Source organism: Homo sapiens, chromosome 14 (assembly GCF_000001405.40).
Source record: "Homo sapiens chromosome 14, GRCh38.p14 Primary Assembly".
Classification (NCBI taxonomy): Eukaryota; Metazoa; Chordata; class Mammalia; order Primates; family Hominidae; genus Homo; species Homo sapiens.
In genome coordinates, this window is record NC_000014.9 from 74941119 (window position 1) to 74958889 (window position 17771).

The window sequence follows — 17771 nt, forward strand, 5'->3', positions numbered from 1 at the left end:
CGCCCTGAGACCCAGCCCAGGATGTCTATCAGGAGGGCCGGAGGAGTTCGGGAGTCCTTGCGGCACTGGGCTGGGGCAGCCCTAAGCCCTGGGAGAGGAGGAGATTGTGCTCTTGATGCTGTTAAAAAGTGGCTGGGACCAGCCTCTCCTCAACTTTGGAAACAAAACTACATCTTGGGAGCTCCTCGTTAGGGAAGGGGCGACCCCAGGGTGCTGTAGAAGCAGGTTGGGCGACCTCCGGGGCAGCCTTGAAGTGGCCTCCACAGGAACAGTCTCCAGTGACCACCCAGGGCCACCGAGACTTGAGCCTGGGCCCCAGTAGAAATGTGTCAAAGCCAGAAGAGCCATCTAGCCAGGCCCCTCAGGTCAGAGATGAAACGTGAAGGCAGAGGGAAGCCCAGTGCCACTCGGTGAGTTATAGACAAAGCCAGGCCTCTGACCCCCGCTTCAGTGCTCTTAACTCTCCATCAGCCATTTCACCTTCTTGGGCCTAAGTGTCCTCAGCTGTCAAAAGGAGGAAGGAAGGAGCAAGCTAACATGTTGTCGTGAGCTGTGACATGCCCTCTCGTCGACTGAGCGAGGCTTTTGAGATAAGGAAACTGAGGCTCGGAGAAGGTGCTGTGCTCTTCCTGTTACACCCCGATCCCTGGGTCTGTCTGGCTTCCGTTCCCGGCTGACGCTCACTGCCCCGGAAGACACACCCACTAGATCAGCGTTTCCACACTAGAATACTTTATTCAAGAGAATCTGGCTTGGCAGTCAGATGGCCCTGCAGGGACAGCTTGTGGGGGTGCCAGGGCCCTTGGGGAACCTGCTCCCCTGCCACTGCCTTCAGCTGGGACGCACAGGCTCCTCCCCTGGTGACCTCATCCCCACTGGCTGAGCTGTTTCTCATCCAGGCAGCTCTTTCTCCAGCCCGGGGCCCACTCTGTATGTGTCTCTTAGGGGGGGCAGGGTGGTGGCACCTTGGCCGGAAAGAACAATGTCCCAGTACAAGCAAATGGCAAAGTGTGAGGGGAGATCACGGGGGACAAGGAGTGGCAAAAGCCCCCAGGCAACCACTGTTCTCCAGAGCTGAATGTTCTGATCTTCAGAAGAAGAGGGGGAAGTGGCTGGATCCCCTCCGCCCGCTGCCGGCCTTCCCACCAGCCAGGCCGTGGCGGCCCCAGCAGGATCCGCATCCCTACTTTGGACAGGAGCTCCGAAAGCAAGGGCTGCTTGTCTGTGCAGAGCCTGAGGCCCAAGAACAGGTAGCAGGGCCCCCTTCTTTCCTTCTGCAGGCCCCTGGAGACCTCCAGGGCCTCTGGGGCCTAGCTTGCCCCTCACGAGGCCACGTGTCTTGCTTCTTTCAAAGCGGAAGCTCCCAGGGGTCTGTGGCTGGCTTCTCTCTTTCTCTCACGTTGTTGAAGGCACTGAATTCCTGAGGGTCCTGTCCTTCCCTGCCCCTCGTCTTGAAGGGAGCGAGGCATTCAGCAGGGAAACAGTTGGCTAATAAATAGAGGGCAGGTACCAGCAGGAGTCACTGAAGAGTGTGACGGTAATAAATACACGAGCCGGGTGCGGGGTCTCTCTCCTCCAAGGGGTGGGTTACCTCCGGGGAACAGCATCGCCGCACCTGCCAGAGACCAAGCACAGACGGGGCGGGTATCAGCACACTGTGGAGGGTGCGGTCTCCTCCTATGGAGGAGGGGGCAGGCCCAGAGGAGGAGCTTGGGCAGGGAGCATGGGGAGGGCGCAGTGCTCCTGGGTCCCTGCTTGCTTCAAGCTGAGGAGAAGCTGGGAGCTACCCTTCACCAAACACTTACCCATGTGCCCAGCCCTGTGCCAAGCACTGTCTTCTTAACCCTCAACAACCTTCCATGAGGAAGGCACCCTGATTATTCTTGTGAAGATTAGGAAACTGAGGCCCAGAGAGGTGAAGAAGCTTGCCTGTGGTCACACGGCCAGTCGGTGACAGAGCCACATTTGAACCTAATCACACTCCATGCAATCATGCCTCTGATTACCCTAAGACAGCAGTCTCCAAACAGGGGAGTACCGCTAGACGCACGTGAGGCCTGAGTACTGACGGTTTTAAAGAAATCCATTTTCAGCCTCCAGGTCTACATTGCCTTAAAATTATTTTTGTGAGGCAGTGGCTGAGATCTGCTTCTCTGGCCACAACACATCTTGCTCATTCTAAATCCTCATAAAGTGCTTTGCTGCCAGGTAAAAGTATTCTGAGGACATGAAAAAAAGAACAATTTGAGATATTGATGTAGGTCTTGAGAAAGAAAATATGGCTAATGACTGGGTAACCAAGGCTTTCAACAAAACTGAAGAACAGCTTAACCAAATTGTCAGCCAGGATATCATGAGAAGTAATTTGTTCTTAGCAGAGCACCTTGAGATTTCTGGCAAATAACTTGGAAGGAAGGAGTTCAAGTAATTGAGTGACATCTAGTCTCATTTACTTATTTATGTGAACATGGTTTCTCAACCTTCTCATCAATAAAAAAATGATAAACAGGAATTAAATTAATGCAGAATCCTGTCTCAGTCTGGCAGGAAGTAACATTCATTAATGGATTCATTCACTAATTGAAACGAGGTAGCCACATCCATCTCATTGAGATGCATTCCCAATCAAATTGATTGTATTTTTATGTTGAACATCTATTAAAATAGGAAGTATTTGTGCTGTTTTGACCAAATGGTGCTACTAAGAATTATTTTGATAATTTATTCCAGGAGAAAATTTAATTTAGGTTTATGCTCACAGGAAATTTAAAATAATTCAAACTCATATATCATTTTTTTGTGGCAGATAAATATGACAAGGTAATCAATAAAAGACTTCTGAAAATTAAAAGTACTGTTACACTAGGCTGAAATTCTTGGGGGTGGGGAGTGAAATGGAAATACAAGTTCCAGGAAAAAAGAAACAATGTAAATATATAATTATGAAAGGAAGTGTTCCTGTATTTTTTTTTTTTTTGCTTGTTAATTTTCTTTTTTTTTTTTTGAGACGGAGTCTTGCTCTGTCCCAGGCTGGAGTGCAGTGGCGTGATCTCGGCTCACTGCAAGTTCCGCCTCCCGGGTTCATGCCATTCTCCTGCCTCAGCCTCCCGAGTAGCTGGGACTATAGGCACCCACCACCACACCCGGCTAATTTTTTGTATTTTTAGTACAGATGGGGTTTCACCATGTTAGCCAGGATGGTCTCGATCTCCTAACCTTGCGATCCGCCCGCCTTGGCCTCCAAAAGTGCTGGGATTACAGGTGTGAGCCACCGCGCCTGGCCTGCTTGTTCATTTTCTTAAAAGTGGATGATGGTGAGTATAACATTAAAATGGCGTATTTAATAGGATACACCTGGAGAGTGTTCTACAATAGCTTTGTATTAAAATATTAATAATATGCCAGAAATTATATCCTTTGTAATGACTTATACTTTTTTTTTTTTGAGACAGGTTCTTACTCTGTCACCCAGGCTGAGGTGCAGTGGATCTATCTCGGCTCACTGCAGCCTTGACCTCCCAGGCTCAGGTGATCATTCCACCTCAGCCTCCTGAGTAGTTGGGACTATAGGCACATGGCACCACGTCCAGCTAGTTTTTGTATTTTTTTTGTAGAGACGAGGTTTCACCATGTTGCCCCGGCTAGGCTTGAACTCCTGGCCTCAAGCGATCCACTCGCCTCGGCCTCCCAAAGTGCTAGAATTACAGGCATGAGGTACTGAGCCTGGCTTGACTTATAATTCTGATGAAAATGTTCAATGTCAACTTAAGAATGGGCAAGGGAGCACATGGGCTTTTGGAATTCTTTTTTTTTTTTTTTTTGAGACGGAGTCTTGCTCTGTCACCCAGGCTGGAGTGCAGTGGCGTGATCTCGGCTCACTGCAACCTCCGCCTCCCGGGTTCAAGCGATTCTCCTGCCTCAGCCTCCCAAGTAGCTGAGATTACAGGCATGCACCAACACGCCCAGCTAATTTTGTATTTTTAGTAGAGATGTGGTTTCACCGTGTTGGTCAGGCTGGCCTCGAACTTCTGACCTCAAGTGATCTACCCACTTCGGCCTCCCAAAGTGCTGGGATTACAGGTGTTAGCCACTGCGCCCGGCCACTTTTGAAATTCTTTCAGGAGATTCCCGAGTGAAATGTCTGAAGACTGCTGCCTTGGGAACAGGAGCCACGGGACACTTTCTGCCTCCGGCTGCCGGCGGGTAACTCGGGCCTGGATGGACTTCCCTGCCAGCTTGTTTCCCAAATTGCCGCGCGGGCCCAGAAAAGAGATGAGAGCATAAACCCCTAGGGGGCGCAGTCCCCAGGATCCCTGTCTTCATGGAGTGGGGCTCATGGGGTCAGGGCTTGGGTCAACTCCACTCCATAGCACGAAATGACTTCCTGGAGTCACGTGCGTGGGGGAGGCTTAGCCCCTGAAGGAGAGCCACCTCTCTTCAGTGACTGATTGACTGTGCACGTGAAATATTTTATTTTTTCTATTTACTCTCACAGATTTGGGTTTTCCCTCCTCTCATCCTTCTCTCCCAGCCACACTCAGGCCTGGGGCTCCATTCTGCTGCCCACAAGGTACGAAGTGGGTTAGAAGCAGCAAGGGGACCCACAGGCAAAAATACTCCTGGGAGACAGTGGCGAGGGGCACATGTTCCCCGGGGCTACTAGGAAGTGGCCCCAGATAACGTCTCAGCTGATGACAGACTTTTAATCACTAAAAGGTAAACACTAATGTGCAGGAATCCTGTTTGTTTGCTCACAGATGTACCTGACACACAGTAAGTGCTCAGTAAATGTTTGTAGAGTGACTGAATGTTTGCTGGACCTCCTGCCCCTCATTCTACACAGAGAAAAGCTAGGCTGACAAAGGTGAAATGATTTGTTGAAGGTCAATGGAAACCTAGGGCTAAGCCGGGACAAAAACCAAGGTCCACTGATGCTTCCTGGGCCCTAGAGTCTTGAGGAGGTGCAGCTCCCTGTTCTGCCCCCAAGACTGGCCTCAGTCCTGCCTCTCCCCCTCCCCAACCTAACCCTGGCGGCAAGGCGGGGCTCCCCTCGGGCCCAGCCTCCTCGCCATCCCTGGGACCCCGCACACTCACAGGTGGCAGTCTGTGGGTCTCTGCTTCTCTCTCCTCCTCTTCCCCCTGCCCTTGGGTCTCCTCCTGCAATAAGCCAAGCGTCAGGACAAGGTGGCTGGGGAACCCCATGCTAGGACAGAGGCTGGCAGGCCCGAGAATAGCCCCGAGCCCCAGCCAAACCACTTACCTTTCCGGCTTCATCTTCTCCCGCAGAGGCCTAGGGAAACAGACAGAGAGAGGGGCAGAGGAACGTTAGGAAAGCAATAAGTGGGGCTCCCTGCCGCCCGGACAGGTCCCCTCCGACATCCCCAGTCCTGGTCCTGCAGCTGACACTGAGGCCACTAGGGGGTAGCATGGAGTTGGCAAGGGAGAGGTGGCCAGAGCCTCAAGGCTTCACTCCCACTCCAGGCTCTGGTGACCCCACCACGAGAGGGACAAATCAACCTCCTGGGGACCCCTGCCACCCGCTTCTGCACTTCTCAGCCTCTTGGCATCAAATTTGGTTGTTTCTGTCTGTTCTCTGTTGCTTTTTCTTTCTCACTTTCTTTGCTGCTTTTTTCCGTTCCTTCCAGGGTGCATTCTGGGAATTTCCTCAGGGACAGGAGATGATGGCCAGACAGCGGACTGGCTGCCTGTCAGGGCACAGCCCCACTCCATCCGGAACAACATGGGGAGTGAGCGACGGGGTGGGAGGAAGGAGGGAGCATCAGCCCTGAAGTCACCAGGCATGTCTGGGCTCTGCCTCCCAGGGCTGTGGCTGTTGGCCCAGAAGCAAGAAGAAAGGTGTCCCTGTTGCCTGGCCCCTGGCAGGGGATAGGGCCTCAGTCTTCACTGGGAACAGTGGGTAGAGACATGGGACAGCATGGTAGCAGTCAGCTTTGGGGCCAGGACATGCTACCCTCAGCTGGTTCCTCCCTTGGGAGCCAGGGCAAGGTACCAGGGCCTCTTGGGACTGTCTGGTTGTACCTCTCCATATTGGGCAAGTGACAGACACTCTTGGAACCTCAGTCTCTTCATCTGCCTGCCCCAAAAGAGTGGCTGTCAGGGCAAAGGGGATGGAGAAGGTGACTCTGGGTCACCACCCAGCATTGCACCCAGGAGGGTTCATTACCGAGCTCTTGTTATATGGCTAAGCTCTGGCTTGGAGGGATGGGTGGAAACAAGTTGAGGCAGGGTCTCCAACACTCCAACAAAAGGGGCAGCCATAGCCCTGCCCAGGAGGCAAGGCTAAGCCTGGGGGCTATTAGAAAAGTGGTCATGGCCATGAAAGGTAGCCTGAAAAACGAAGGCTTACGAGTTAGGTCAGGGCCCAGAATCCCTCCTCCCACACTCACTAGCTGTGATAAATCATGAAACTGTATTGAGCCTTGATTTTCTCATCTGTAAAATGGGGATGACAATAGGGCCTACCTCCCAGGGTTGTTATGAGAGCAGGAACCTTGCTCACCACTGCATCCCATCAGGACAATGCCTGGCATGTGGTAGGTGCTCAATAAATGTATGTGACTAAATGAGAAACATTCAAGTGCCTCCTGCGGGGCTAGGCACAGAATAGGTACACAATAAGTGGTAGTCTTCCCTCCTGCCGCCCCTGGCTAGGGCTCTGGACTTCTAGTCTGGTGCCTTCATCCATGGCCCAGTAGTACCAGGAGCAGCAGCTCAGCCCATTTCTCTCTTCCCTGAACCTAGCTGGCAGTGCCAGGCCTGTTGCTCCTGCTAACCAATGTTCCAAGTGCCCCCAGCACAGGCAGCAAGACTGGTGCTGGTCAGAGGCTCTGTGGATTGGGAGGGGCCGTAGAGGGGTGCTGCAACATCAAGGAAGCCACAGTGTCACTCTTCTTCTGCCCCTTTTCTCCTACCCGAGCTTGTCCTTCTTGCTGCTTCTCAGCCCCGTTTGCCCGCTCCTGTGGGCACACAGCTTGCCCCAGAACGAAGTTCAGACTTGCAATGTCTTTGCCTCCAGGCACCTCTTTCAGAGGCCCGTGGCAGCTGCCTCCCATCCCAGAGAAGGGGAACGACACGCACCGAACCCCTGCGAGGCTGGGAGGGACCCACCCTCTCTCTTCCCTTGCAGTATCTCAACAGCTGTACCCCAGCTGCTGGGACCAGCTCCCTTGGCAAAACTGGCTGGTGGGGGGACAAAATGAATGGTAGCCACCCCTGGTCCTGCCCTCTTGGTCTCCCTCAGTCTGGAAAAAAGTTCAGCCCGCAGCGGGGATGGGCAGCCTTTGCCTCTGCCCTGGGACCCATCTTTGCTGAGGCTGCCAAGAGGACGGGGGCCTTTCCTTGCTACCCACCCGACCCCGGAGACCTACCGGCATTCGCAGCGAACGTGCTGAGAGAACGTCAGCTCCACGTAGGAGGGCCGGTCCCCAGAACGGATCTTTAGGAGCTGAAGGAAGAAAGAGTTGATGCCTGGATTGGGGAGTGGCCCACGAGTTTCCGGCACTCTTCTCTCTCTCCTTGTAAGGAGAACCCGACTCTGTTTCCTGCTAGCCTGTGGACTACAGGCCCTCACTCCACTCTGAACGTGGGGCAAACAGCTCTCTCAGCTGCATGGGGATCTGAGGGAGGCCCCTGTCCCTCCCTGCCCGGGAGCACTAGCACAGCAATAGCACAGGAAGGGGGCTCATGTTCTGGAGTCAGAGAGACCCGTGTTCAGATCTTGACTCTTTTACCTGCTGAACAAGTGAAATAACATCTCTGAACCTTGAGTTCCCCATCCGTGAAATGGGAATGACACCAGCCTTGAAGGATTGAATGACACACCACTTGTGGCACGCCTAGGACAGTGCTTGGCATTACTCAGTAAGTGCTCAGTAAACCACTGCGTGTGTGACATGTAAGCTGCACTTGCTTGAAAAGGGACCAAATGCTCCTGGTGTCAACAGGGACTTTATACAAGCAGATTTCTTTCCAGCTTTAACTAGACACCCTGAGTCTTGGGATAGGACTCAGCGTGAGGCTGAGAATGCTGGTGGGGGTGGAGATGAGTGGGCTCAGAGCCATCGGAGGGCTTAGGAAGAAGAGGCCCTGGGCTGGGGTGGTAGGAGCACTGGCCTGGGAGTCAGGCTCCAGCCCTGGGACCTGGGCCTATCTTCTTCCCTCTCCAGGTACCTTCTAGTGGGCAGATTCGGTGGCCCCCTGGGCAGGGTATGGACCTACCTGCATGGTGACATTGGCCGTCTCCACCGGCACACAGTGCAGATTCTCATCGCCGCAGCAGCCGGTGCAGCGCAGCAGGGAGACACAGGATGGGCTGAACATGTGCTCCACCTCGCTGGGGTACTCGGACACGACGTCCACCAGCCTCTCCAGCGCCCGGCAGTAGCTGCGGCCCCACACTTCCTGGAAGGGTACCACTGCGAGGAAGCAAGGGGGCTGGGTCAGGCCAGCAGAGACCTGCCCCTTGAAGCCCTAAACCTGGCTCCCAAGGCCCTGCTGGCCTTCCAGGTTCAGCCCCCAGCCCCATCCGAGCTCCCTCAACTCTGAACTCCTAATGTGATCCCTCCGAAATGCCTGCGGGCCCCTTAGCTCATCTGCTGGATGGAAATCCCCATGGAACAGAATCTCTCAGGGTCCCAAGCTTTGCTCTGTCCTCAACTCAGGCACCCACGTCTGCCTTGGCTCCCTGGAGCTTTGAGGATTGTAGCCCCGGCAGCTACCCAGGCCCTCTGGATCTTTCTCAAGCCTGACCCGGTGCTTCCTCCAACTTGGAGAACTTGCAGAAAACAGTCATTCCTGGAGTCATGCAGGGAGGGTTGGCCTTCCCTTATTCCTCTGCTCAAACACCTTCCACGGCTCCCTCATTTCCTGCCCCACTCTGTGCCAGCTCCTCTGCCTGGCAACCAAGACCACATCCAGCAATGTGGCCCGACCCTCCTCTCCACTGAGTCCAACCAGCGCTCACACTGAGCCACGGCAGCACCACATTCACTCCCAGCTCTGGCTTGTGCACTCTGCAGCCCGTACAGCTGCTCTTCTTCCCCCTCCTCTCATTTCTATCCAAATAAAGTCCACCCGCCATTTTCCACGACCTGCCTCCCCACCTCCTCTTTGAAGACTTCCCCAGCAATTCCAGTGCACACAGATGAGCCTCCCTTGAGCACTGCTTGGCCTCTGGCCTCAAGGGGTTGCCTTATCTCCGGCACTGCTTGCTCTTATCTCCTTTACAACCAACTCGAGGCTCCATGAGGGCAGAGATGGACGTACCCGTAAACACAGGCTAAGTCACTCCTGGTTGATTAGATGACATTTCACTGAGGATCATCCGGGTCATCCCTGACCTCACGATGTCCTGGCGATCGTGAATGGGATCTTTTGGGGGCTGATCTGGAATCCCTCAAAAGATGCTGCTCTTTCGGGGGAAGGCCTAGGACCAGGCCCCAAATAGAGGCTCACAGGGAGAGTGGCCAGAGTCAGACACCTGGCTTCCAGTCCTGGCCCTACACTGGCTATGTGACCTTGGGGAGATCACTTAACCTTTCTGGATAGATCAGTTTCCTCAGGTGGGAAAAAAGAAGGTTGGGAATAAATGGTTGCTAAGGTCTTTCCCTCTCTGACCAACCGCCTGTGAATCAGTGCCTGCAACCCAGCCCAGCCCAGAGACCATGGACAGAGAAACACCCCCAGGCCTGGGTCATCCTGCTCTGCATCTGATGGTCATCCTCAGCTAGTGGGGAAGAATGGGGAGCTGGGGGTCCTGCAGCCTCTGCCATGGAACAATGGCCTCTCCCAGCAACCCCTCATTTCTTCCATGCCTCTGCCTAGGAGGCAGAAGGGGCCAAAGTCCATTCCACTGAGCCTATGAGGACATGAGCCTCCTGGTAATCTCGGAAGAAAAATAAACTTCAGTCCTAGCAGAGGCCCTCGGGAAAGGCTGCAAACTGGTGGAAAATACCCAGAGGCGGTGTGTCCATGTGGAGCTGGCTAGGCAGTCATAGAGGCAATAAACAGTGTTATCTGCTTGTTTGCTGCTCCATTCTGCTCCATTCTGCCGTGCTCTGCTTAGAGGGCACTAGGGCCTAGGGGCTGGTGGTGGGGGGAATCCATAGGCCTCCTCTGACTCTACCACTCCGCGCCACTGGATACTGCCCCGGAACCCAGTGGGAAACAAGGCCTCTCTCCCCAAAGGCGCCCAAAGTGCAGGGAAGCCTGCCTTTGCAATCCTGGGTCAGAGAGCACCTCCCTATCACCAGCTCCTTGAGCTGTGTGTTTAGTTTAAAATCTTCATGAGCACTACGTGACTCTGAACGTTTAATCTCCACCTTGGAAAACATAAATAACAGCAGAGGAATAATGAGCTGCCAAAGCACCACAGAAGACTCAGGTTCCTGCCCTGGGACCAGCCGTCAGCGAGGGGACAGCAGCAGAGAAGGGGCACCCCAGCCCCCTCCATCCTGCAAACAGACACCCACCCAGCTGGGCTGCGGGGCCATGGCCACCTTTGGCAGAACTGGCTGGGCCTCGGCAGCAGAAGAAGGGATTTCCTTTCCTCACCCCACATCCCACCATGCAGGTTCCGGGTCCCTGAAACCCTGGAATCTGCCACTTTCCCAGCCCTGTGGCCGAACTGTGTTGGGGGAGGGCTGAGAAGGAGGTGGGCTGGAGCCTGGTTTACCTGGCAGCCACCAGGAAAGGGCAATTCATCCCTGAAGGCCCCGCTATGGGTGTGTGGGAGAAACAAAAGGGGCTGGGTGAGGGGCCGGGCTGAGGGAGTACAGTGACCGCTCCCAGATGTGGGCTGTGTCCCTCAGGAAAGAGCTCTGCTCAGCTGTCCCCGAGAGCACTTCCGCTGGCCCCAGACCTGCTCCGGGAGGGGGTGGAGGTGAGAGCAACGGGAAGCTGTGGCCCCCTCAGGGCCCCCTCAGGCACTGCCAGGGCTGGGTGGTCCCCAGGGCTGCTCCTGAGGCTGCAAGTGTGCCCTCAGCTCTCTCGCCAGCCCTGTGAGTGAGCCTCCCACCTGCCTACCTACCACCTGGGATGGGGGAGACCCCAGGAGAGAAATGCTTAATCCTGAGAGCAAGTTTCTGTGGAGGGCACTGGAGACGGGCCACAGGGCTGGGCAGAGCCACTGGCCACCAGCCCAAGCCCACAAGTGTCCTCTCCATGGTCACTGGCAGGGCACACAGACAGCCTGCCACAAGGGACACCCTGCTCATGCCCGCTCAGCCACGGAGCTATTGGGAGCACTTGGTTCTGCCAGATCCATGAGGAGTGTCTGAGGCTTGGGGCGACCCCCAGGGCCTCTCTGAGCCTCAGGGCCTGCCTGCATCTGTAAAAATGGAGTACAACCCCTTCCTACTTCACAGCCTGTGGTCAAAACAGAATGACAGAAAATGCCTAACATTGTTACCGTGAATAGTAATAGTAAAAATCAATGCCCATGGCTGGCCATGCTGTCTCTGGCTGTGGTGTTAACAGGTGGGGATGCCATTTTCAGATTTTGAGAGCTGGGGTGCAAAGCTCGTTGTACTTCTCCCGGTCAGATTGCAGACTCCCTGATTGATAAGTGTGACAGGAGAGCTGACCTAATGAATCTACACTTCCAGGCCTCCCCACCTCAAATCCTGGGTGATATGTACACCCATTTCTCCTCCCTGGAGTCAGAGGACAAGTCCCTTTTTCAATCTCGGAAAAAGAAGAAACCATAGACATCATGTAGCCAAGGCTCCCATTTTACAGATGAGAAAACTGAGGCTAAGGCATCTTTGGTAGCTGTGGCCTGACCTACACTAAAAGCACCAAAAAGGGCATAGTGTGGAGGTAGGGGATGGGTCCTTCCCCAAATCCCAAGGAGCATAATGTTGTGCTGGTTCCAGAGGCACAGCAAGGGAGGCATCCATGAGGTCAAGGGCAGCTACCTCCTCTACCTGCTCAGGGGTCTAGGGGCCTAAGCCTTAGGTGTCAGAGTATGGCCAGGCCCGGGAGAGGCGGGCTGCCAGGCAGGCAGCCCAGCAGAGGGTGTTCCCAGCACGCAGATGGCTATCACGCGTGTGCGTGTGCATGTCCCTACATGCCCACTCTCCCATGGCGCAGGGGAAACCTCAGCGGTGGTGTGTGGCCACTTTGCACGTCTTGGAGAGGCAGGGAGGGAGGAGCGAGGTAGGGGGCCTGGCATGGGCCTCCTGCCTTCTGTACATATGTCTCTTTGGCAAACGTCTCGTTGCCCTTTGAAGACTCCCTCTTGATGCAACCAGGGCGGGGAGTGGAGGGGCCAGGGAGGGCGCGACTATGTTCTGTCTGTTTATAATCAATGGAAACGCATGGTCAGATCCCGGCAGTTCCACCAGGGCTGGGCTGCTGGGGAGGGCCCCTCACCCATTCCTGATCCTCTTGACTGCCCACTGCATTCAGCTCCCAGACCCCCATTCTGGCCCCTGGCACTCACTCCCCACCCTGTCCTCCAAGACCCCATCCATACCCTTAAATCATGCTGGGGAAGGGCTCTGAGCCAGCTGGATGAACCCTGGCTATACTGGCCCCAGCCCCACTCTCCGTGTGCTGGTGACTCCAGCCCACACCTCTCTAGTCTCTGGGTCACCATGAGGGGATCTCTTAGGCCCTGCCAAAGTCATCACCCAGCATGTCTAGCTTGTAGGCTCTCCCCAGCTTTTATCAACCTGCACCCACGCTTCATGCCACACCTGGGCTTGGGAGAAAGGAAGAGAGGGGCTTGGGGAGCATGCGTACCCCCAGCCTGGCCAGCTTACCTTCCACCTCTGACGAGCCGTTCCCAGCAGACAAGGCCCACTGCTATGGACAGAAAAGTGCAGAGGTGAGCTGGGGGTACCTTGGAGCTCTGCACTCTTGGGCCAAGTGTGATGGCAAGAAGGTAGGGGCCCCTCTGGGTTCCTTCCCACTTGCTGCACATGCTCTGCCCTGTCTCAGAGCAGCCTGAGTACCACTAAAAACTCACTGGACCCTGGGTAGGTTAGGTCCCACCCCTCTCTGGCCTCAGTTTTCCTCATTTGGAAAAGGATGGGAGGCTAGAAGCTTTTGGAGACCCTTGGCCTGCTGCATCCCAAAGATCTTCCAATCCTGCGGGTCTGCCTTCTACCCAGCCCCCAGGCCAACCCTGCTGGGCCCTGCACAGCCCGCCTTGGCTGGGTGCCAGAGCCCAGGGGGAGGTGATCAGCTGGTGGGAGCTGAGGGGCTGGAGCGGGTGGCGCCATGAGCTGGTGCAGCCGGTAACGTTACACCTCTGGCCAGCCCTGCAGCAGGCAGGCGGGTGGCTGGGCTGCTCGGACTCCTCAGGGACTGCCCAGCCCACTCCTACTCTTGGGCTGGGGCTGGGGACTCCCAGGGCAGTGGGACAACGCAGTGGGAAGGCAGTTCATTGGCTTTGTCAGGATTTCACTGCCCAAGCTGGCTCCCAGCCAGACTCACCCGGCTCCTGGGAAAAGGGCCCTGCTCACTTCCCCAGGCCCTGCACTCAGGACCTCCGGCCACCCACCCAGGAGAAAAGGCACAGCGAGACCCCTTGTCTCGTCCCCAGCCCACCCAGGAGCCCACGGCTCAGTCCTGAGCCCTGGTGGGGGCAGGGCCAGCCTCCCCACCAACAGCTTCTTCAGCTGGCTCCTCCGCCACCCCCACCAGGCCAGGTCAGAGGTCCTGGGGACGCCTGGTTGGCCATGGGGCCTCGACCCTGACCACAAGGCCAGGGACCCGCCTGGGATTAGTGGACAGATGCTTTTAGCAAAGCCACCAGGGCTCCAGGGGCCAGACAGGAAACCTCCCTCCCTCCCTCCCTCCCTGTGGCTTCCCTGCCCCCACCAAGACAGCCCCCAGGACCTGGGGGACAGCCAGCCTGAGGTCTCTTCCCAAACGAAAGAAGTCCAGCCTGGCCTTTAGGAAGTGTGTGGACATCCTTGGAGTTGCTGCTCCCTGGAGTGGGTCTGTGATTTCAGAGTCCCATGCTTCCAGTGCTGGGATGGGGAGGTCTGGGGAGCCAGGCTAGGTGGGGGTAGCTCTTACCTGGGGGGGCACAGCAGGCAGCGCCAGCCCGGCCAGGAGCTGCAGGAAGCAAGGGAACAGCCTCATGACCGGCATCTTCTCAGACGTCCCGAGCCAGGGGGCTCCGAGGGAAAACCACCATGCTCATCCCCCGGGGAGCCCCTGGCACAGGAGGAGAAGAGCTGAGTGGGGGGCTGGACGCCTCCCTCACTGCTGCCCCGAGGCCCCGGCCGGTGGTTCGAGCATCTTCTGGAAGCCTTGCGGAGTCAGGAGCCCGTAGGTAAGGCTGTGGCTGGGGAACCCGACGGGGAGCGGCCCGGCGGGGCGGGGCGCCGAGGGGCAGGCGGGTCCCGGGGATGGTCCGTCGGGCGCCCAGTGCCACTCCAGGTCCTCCCGTAGCTGGGCGGCCGTCCGTCGATGCAGTTTCCTCCGCAGACAGCAGCTCCCTTCTGAGACTGCAGCCGGTCCGCGCCTGGGTTTCAGGGACTGAGCCGGGGCGGGGCTCCGGGCCGGCCCCGCCCACCGCAGACGAGGTTCCCGAGCCGAGTTCCCGGAGCGCCCGGTCAGCCCGCAGCGCCCGGCCAGCCCGCAGCGCCGGAGCCCGCAGTGCGTGCGAGGGGCTCTCGGCAGGTCCAGACGCCTCGCCGAGCCCAGCCCGCAGCTCCCCGGGCCGCGCCGCGCCCGCCCACAGGGCCCACAGCCCTGCTTCGGCTCTCAGGGCGGTCACCTGGGATGGGGGCATCCAGGAGTCCAGCGTCAGCCGTCAAGGCTCATGATCTAACCGCCTCTGCAGGAAGGGCCGTCCGGGATGCCTGGGAAGGCAGCCATGCCCACACCCCTAGGGGGCCAAGGGATTCCTAGCCAGGTTATATAGATGAAGAAACCGAGGCTCCGAGAGCACCCCTGCCTGCATATGTCGAATGGACATAGGCATTCTTGGAAAGTGTGTGTGTGTTGTGTGTGTGCGCGCATCTGTGTGTCCGAGGAACTGGCAGAGACAAAACCCAAGCCTACGTGACTCCAGAACTCTAACCCGACCTACCACCCTCCTAGCCAGGCACGGACACAGTGGGCCTCCCACAGGAAACCTCTCAGGGCACCTGGCTGGAGGATCAGGCCTGTTGCCTCCTTGGGAAGCAGTCTTCCCAGGCCCTCCCTGCGGGGCAGCCCCCTGTGGTAGAGAGTGGTCTCACTCAGGCATCTCCTCCTGGTCCCTGGCCGAGGAGGAACTGTACGCTGCGCGGGGGTCTGTGTGCATCTGCGCGTGTGCATGGGCATTTGCGGGTCTGTGAATATCCATGAGCGGTGCATCTGAGCCTCTGTGTGGTCTGAGTACGTGTGACTACTGTACCTCCAAATACGCCTCTGTGTGGGGGTCAGGTCTCTCTGTATCTCTGTATGCTTGTGTGATCTGTTCGTGTCCGCTGTGTATCTGGGTGTGTTTGGAAGTGTCTGAATGTGTATCTTTCGGTGGGACTGTGAGTCTGCACGCCTGCCTGTCTCTGCGTGTGTGTGTCTGTCTCTGTGGGTGAAGACTGTGCCTCTCTCTCTGCGTTTGTGTGTGCCCTCCCTTGGTTCTGGATCTTTCTTTACCACCACTCCTCTCACTGCCTTCTGTGTCCAGCTCCCAGGCTGCAGGAACCTGGCAGGACTGGGAGTCACGAGTTGGCTGGGCCTGGGGCTGGTGGGTGGCTGTGGGGGAGGAGCGAGGCCTGGGAAGTGGCCCCTACAGCTCACATTCCAGCCAAGAGCAGGGAGGCCAGGGCAGCCCCAGCTCTCACCCCAGTGACCTCTGCGTCCACTGCCTGCCTGCCTGCCCACCCACGAGGGGCTGCCAGAGATGCAGCCTGCCTGCCTGGCCGGCCCTAAGCCTGGAGGTTCAGGAGGCGGGGGCCAGTCACCAGCTGGCTAAGCGGGGTCTGCAAGGAACATCCTGACGAGCTTCAAACAAGCTGGGGTTCGTGGGGTAGACAAACTGCTTCCTGGGCCCAGAATCATTGTGGAGGGTCACTGTGCATGTGTGTGAGGGTGAGTAGGTGTGTGTTTGTGCATATATGTATTGTATATGTTGCCCATAACATCTTTGTATACATACACGTGTTTGTGTGTGTCTTTAGTTTGGGTATGGATTTGTGTATGTGGGCACAGGTGTGTATTGTGCACAAGTGTGTGCGCGTGTGCTTAAGTATCTTCATTGTATATGCTTGTCTATAACTGAGTGTTTCTAGCACTTATGCATGGGATGTGTCTATTGTGTATGAGTTTGTATTTTTTTTTTTTTTTTCTGAGACAGAGTCTTGCTCTGTCGCCTAGGCTGGTAGACAGTGGCGCAATCTCGGCTCACTGCAACATCTGCCTCATGGGTTCAAGCGATTCTTGTGCCTCAGCCTCCCAAGTAGCTGGGATTGCAGGTGTACACCACCATGCCTGGCTAATTTTTGTATTTTTAGTAGAGACAGGTTTTTGTCATGTTGGCCAGACTGGTCGAGAACTCCTGGTCTCAAGTGATCCACCCACCTCAGTCTCCCAAAGTGCTGGGATTACAGGTGTGAGCCACCGCGCCCAGCCTGTATTCATTAATTTGTTTTTTCATTTGGCATGTATTGCCTGAGCCCTGCTATGCTCCAGGAACTGCTCTAGGTGCTAGGGATATGATATGGAGGGTCTCTCTGAGTTTACATTCATGGAGTAGGGGGATACCGATGGCTGGGGATGCCGAAGTTCTCTTTCCTGAGTGAACTCAACACCTTGGGCGAAGTCTGTGGTTCCCACAAGTGCACCTCAGTCCTTCATCACTAAATTGGGGACCATACCCTTCTAAACCCAGCTTCCTGGGCTGTGAGATGAATTAGCCTAGGGTAGGCTCAGCGGCAGAGACCAAGGAGACTCTAACATTTCCATGGATTGAATCAAAGTTTGTTCTTGCTCACATCCAGTCCAGAGCAGCTGTGCTAGTAATTCTGCTCCCTTGTTTTTTTTTTAAATTTTTGTAATTTTAATTTTAATTTTTAGAAACGAGGTCTTGCTCTCTCTCCCAGGCTACAGTGCACTGGTGTAGCACTGGCTATAGCTCACTGCAGCCTCCAATTCCTGGGCTCAAGGGATCCTCCCGCCTCAGCCTCCAGAATAACTGGGTCTACAGGTGTGTGCTACCATGCCCAGTTAATTTAAAAACTTTTTTTTTTTGGGGGTAAAGACAGGGTCTTGCCATCTTGCCCAGGCTGTGCTCCTTTGTACACTGGCCCCACTATTGACCAGCCACATCGCCTCAAGCAGCTTCCTTTGCTTTCAGAGCCCCAGCTTCCTCCATCTGTAGGAGTGGGAATGATAACAGTACTTACCTCATAGGGTTGTGCGAGGACTGAGAAAGCACCTTTGGTGCAAAGAATGGTAGCAATTGATCACGATTTCTAATTTAATTTTTGACTTGTATTAGAGAAATAAAAATACTACAGTTAGACCAGGTGCAGTGGCTCACGCCTGTAATCCCAACACTTTGGGAGGCCAAGAAGGACAGATCACCTGAGATTAGGAGTTCGAGACCCGCCTGGCAAACATGGTAAAACCCCGTCTCTACTTAAAATACAAAAATTAACTGGGCGTGGTGGGAGGCACCTGTAATCCTAGCTACTCGGGAGGCTGAGGCAGGAGAATCACTTGAACTCAGGAGGCAGAGGTTTCAGTGAGCCGAGATCGTGCCACTGCACTCCAGTCTGGACGACAGAGTAGAACTCCATCTCAAA

The 17771-nt window shown here is 55.7% G+C and overlaps 1 protein-coding gene and 1 long non-coding RNA gene across 5 annotated transcripts, besides 3 other annotated features; one reads left to right on the forward strand and one right to left on the reverse strand.

Moving 5' to 3' along the window:
- On the reverse strand, positions 712-14646 carry PGF (placental growth factor). Of its 4 annotated transcripts, none has more exons than NM_001293643.1 (7): positions 14050-14646; positions 12786-12825; positions 8239-8435; positions 7389-7465; positions 5261-5290; positions 5095-5157; positions 712-1615 (listed from the first exon to the last, which is right to left on the reverse strand). In NM_001293643.1, exons 1-7 carry the CDS (start codon positions 14122-14124, stop codon positions 1588-1590), a joined length of 510 nt encoding a protein of 169 aa, NP_001280572.1. In that variant the 5' UTR covers positions 14125-14646; the 3' UTR covers positions 712-1587. The 4 variants fall into 4 exon arrangements, with proteins under 4 accessions (NP_001280572.1, XP_047287432.1, NP_001193941.1 ...); NM_002632.6 differs by having other exon boundaries at positions 716-1615; positions 12786-12828; positions 14050-14479; XM_047431476.1 differs by lacking the exon at positions 5095-5157.
- Positions 1611-9109, forward strand: LOC107984690 (uncharacterized). The gene is made up of 3 exons (XR_001750826.3): positions 1611-3314; positions 4122-7881; positions 8187-9109. It is a non-coding gene; the product is annotated as an uncharacterized LOC107984690 (long non-coding RNA).
- Positions 5341-5390: a silencer, noted in NCBI's record as "silent region_5936". NCBI's record gives its function as "represses an Ori minimal core promoter by ATAC-STARR-seq in GM12878 lymphoblastoid cells {active_cell/tissue: GM12878}" and the evidence as "EXISTENCE:reporter gene assay evidence [ECO:0000049][PMID:35858748]".
- Positions 14276-14345: a silencer, noted in NCBI's record as "silent region_5937". NCBI's record gives its function as "represses an Ori minimal core promoter by ATAC-STARR-seq in GM12878 lymphoblastoid cells {active_cell/tissue: GM12878}" and the evidence as "EXISTENCE:reporter gene assay evidence [ECO:0000049][PMID:35858748]".
- Positions 14526-14625: a silencer, noted in NCBI's record as "silent region_5938". NCBI's record gives its function as "represses an Ori minimal core promoter by ATAC-STARR-seq in GM12878 lymphoblastoid cells {active_cell/tissue: GM12878}" and the evidence as "EXISTENCE:reporter gene assay evidence [ECO:0000049][PMID:35858748]".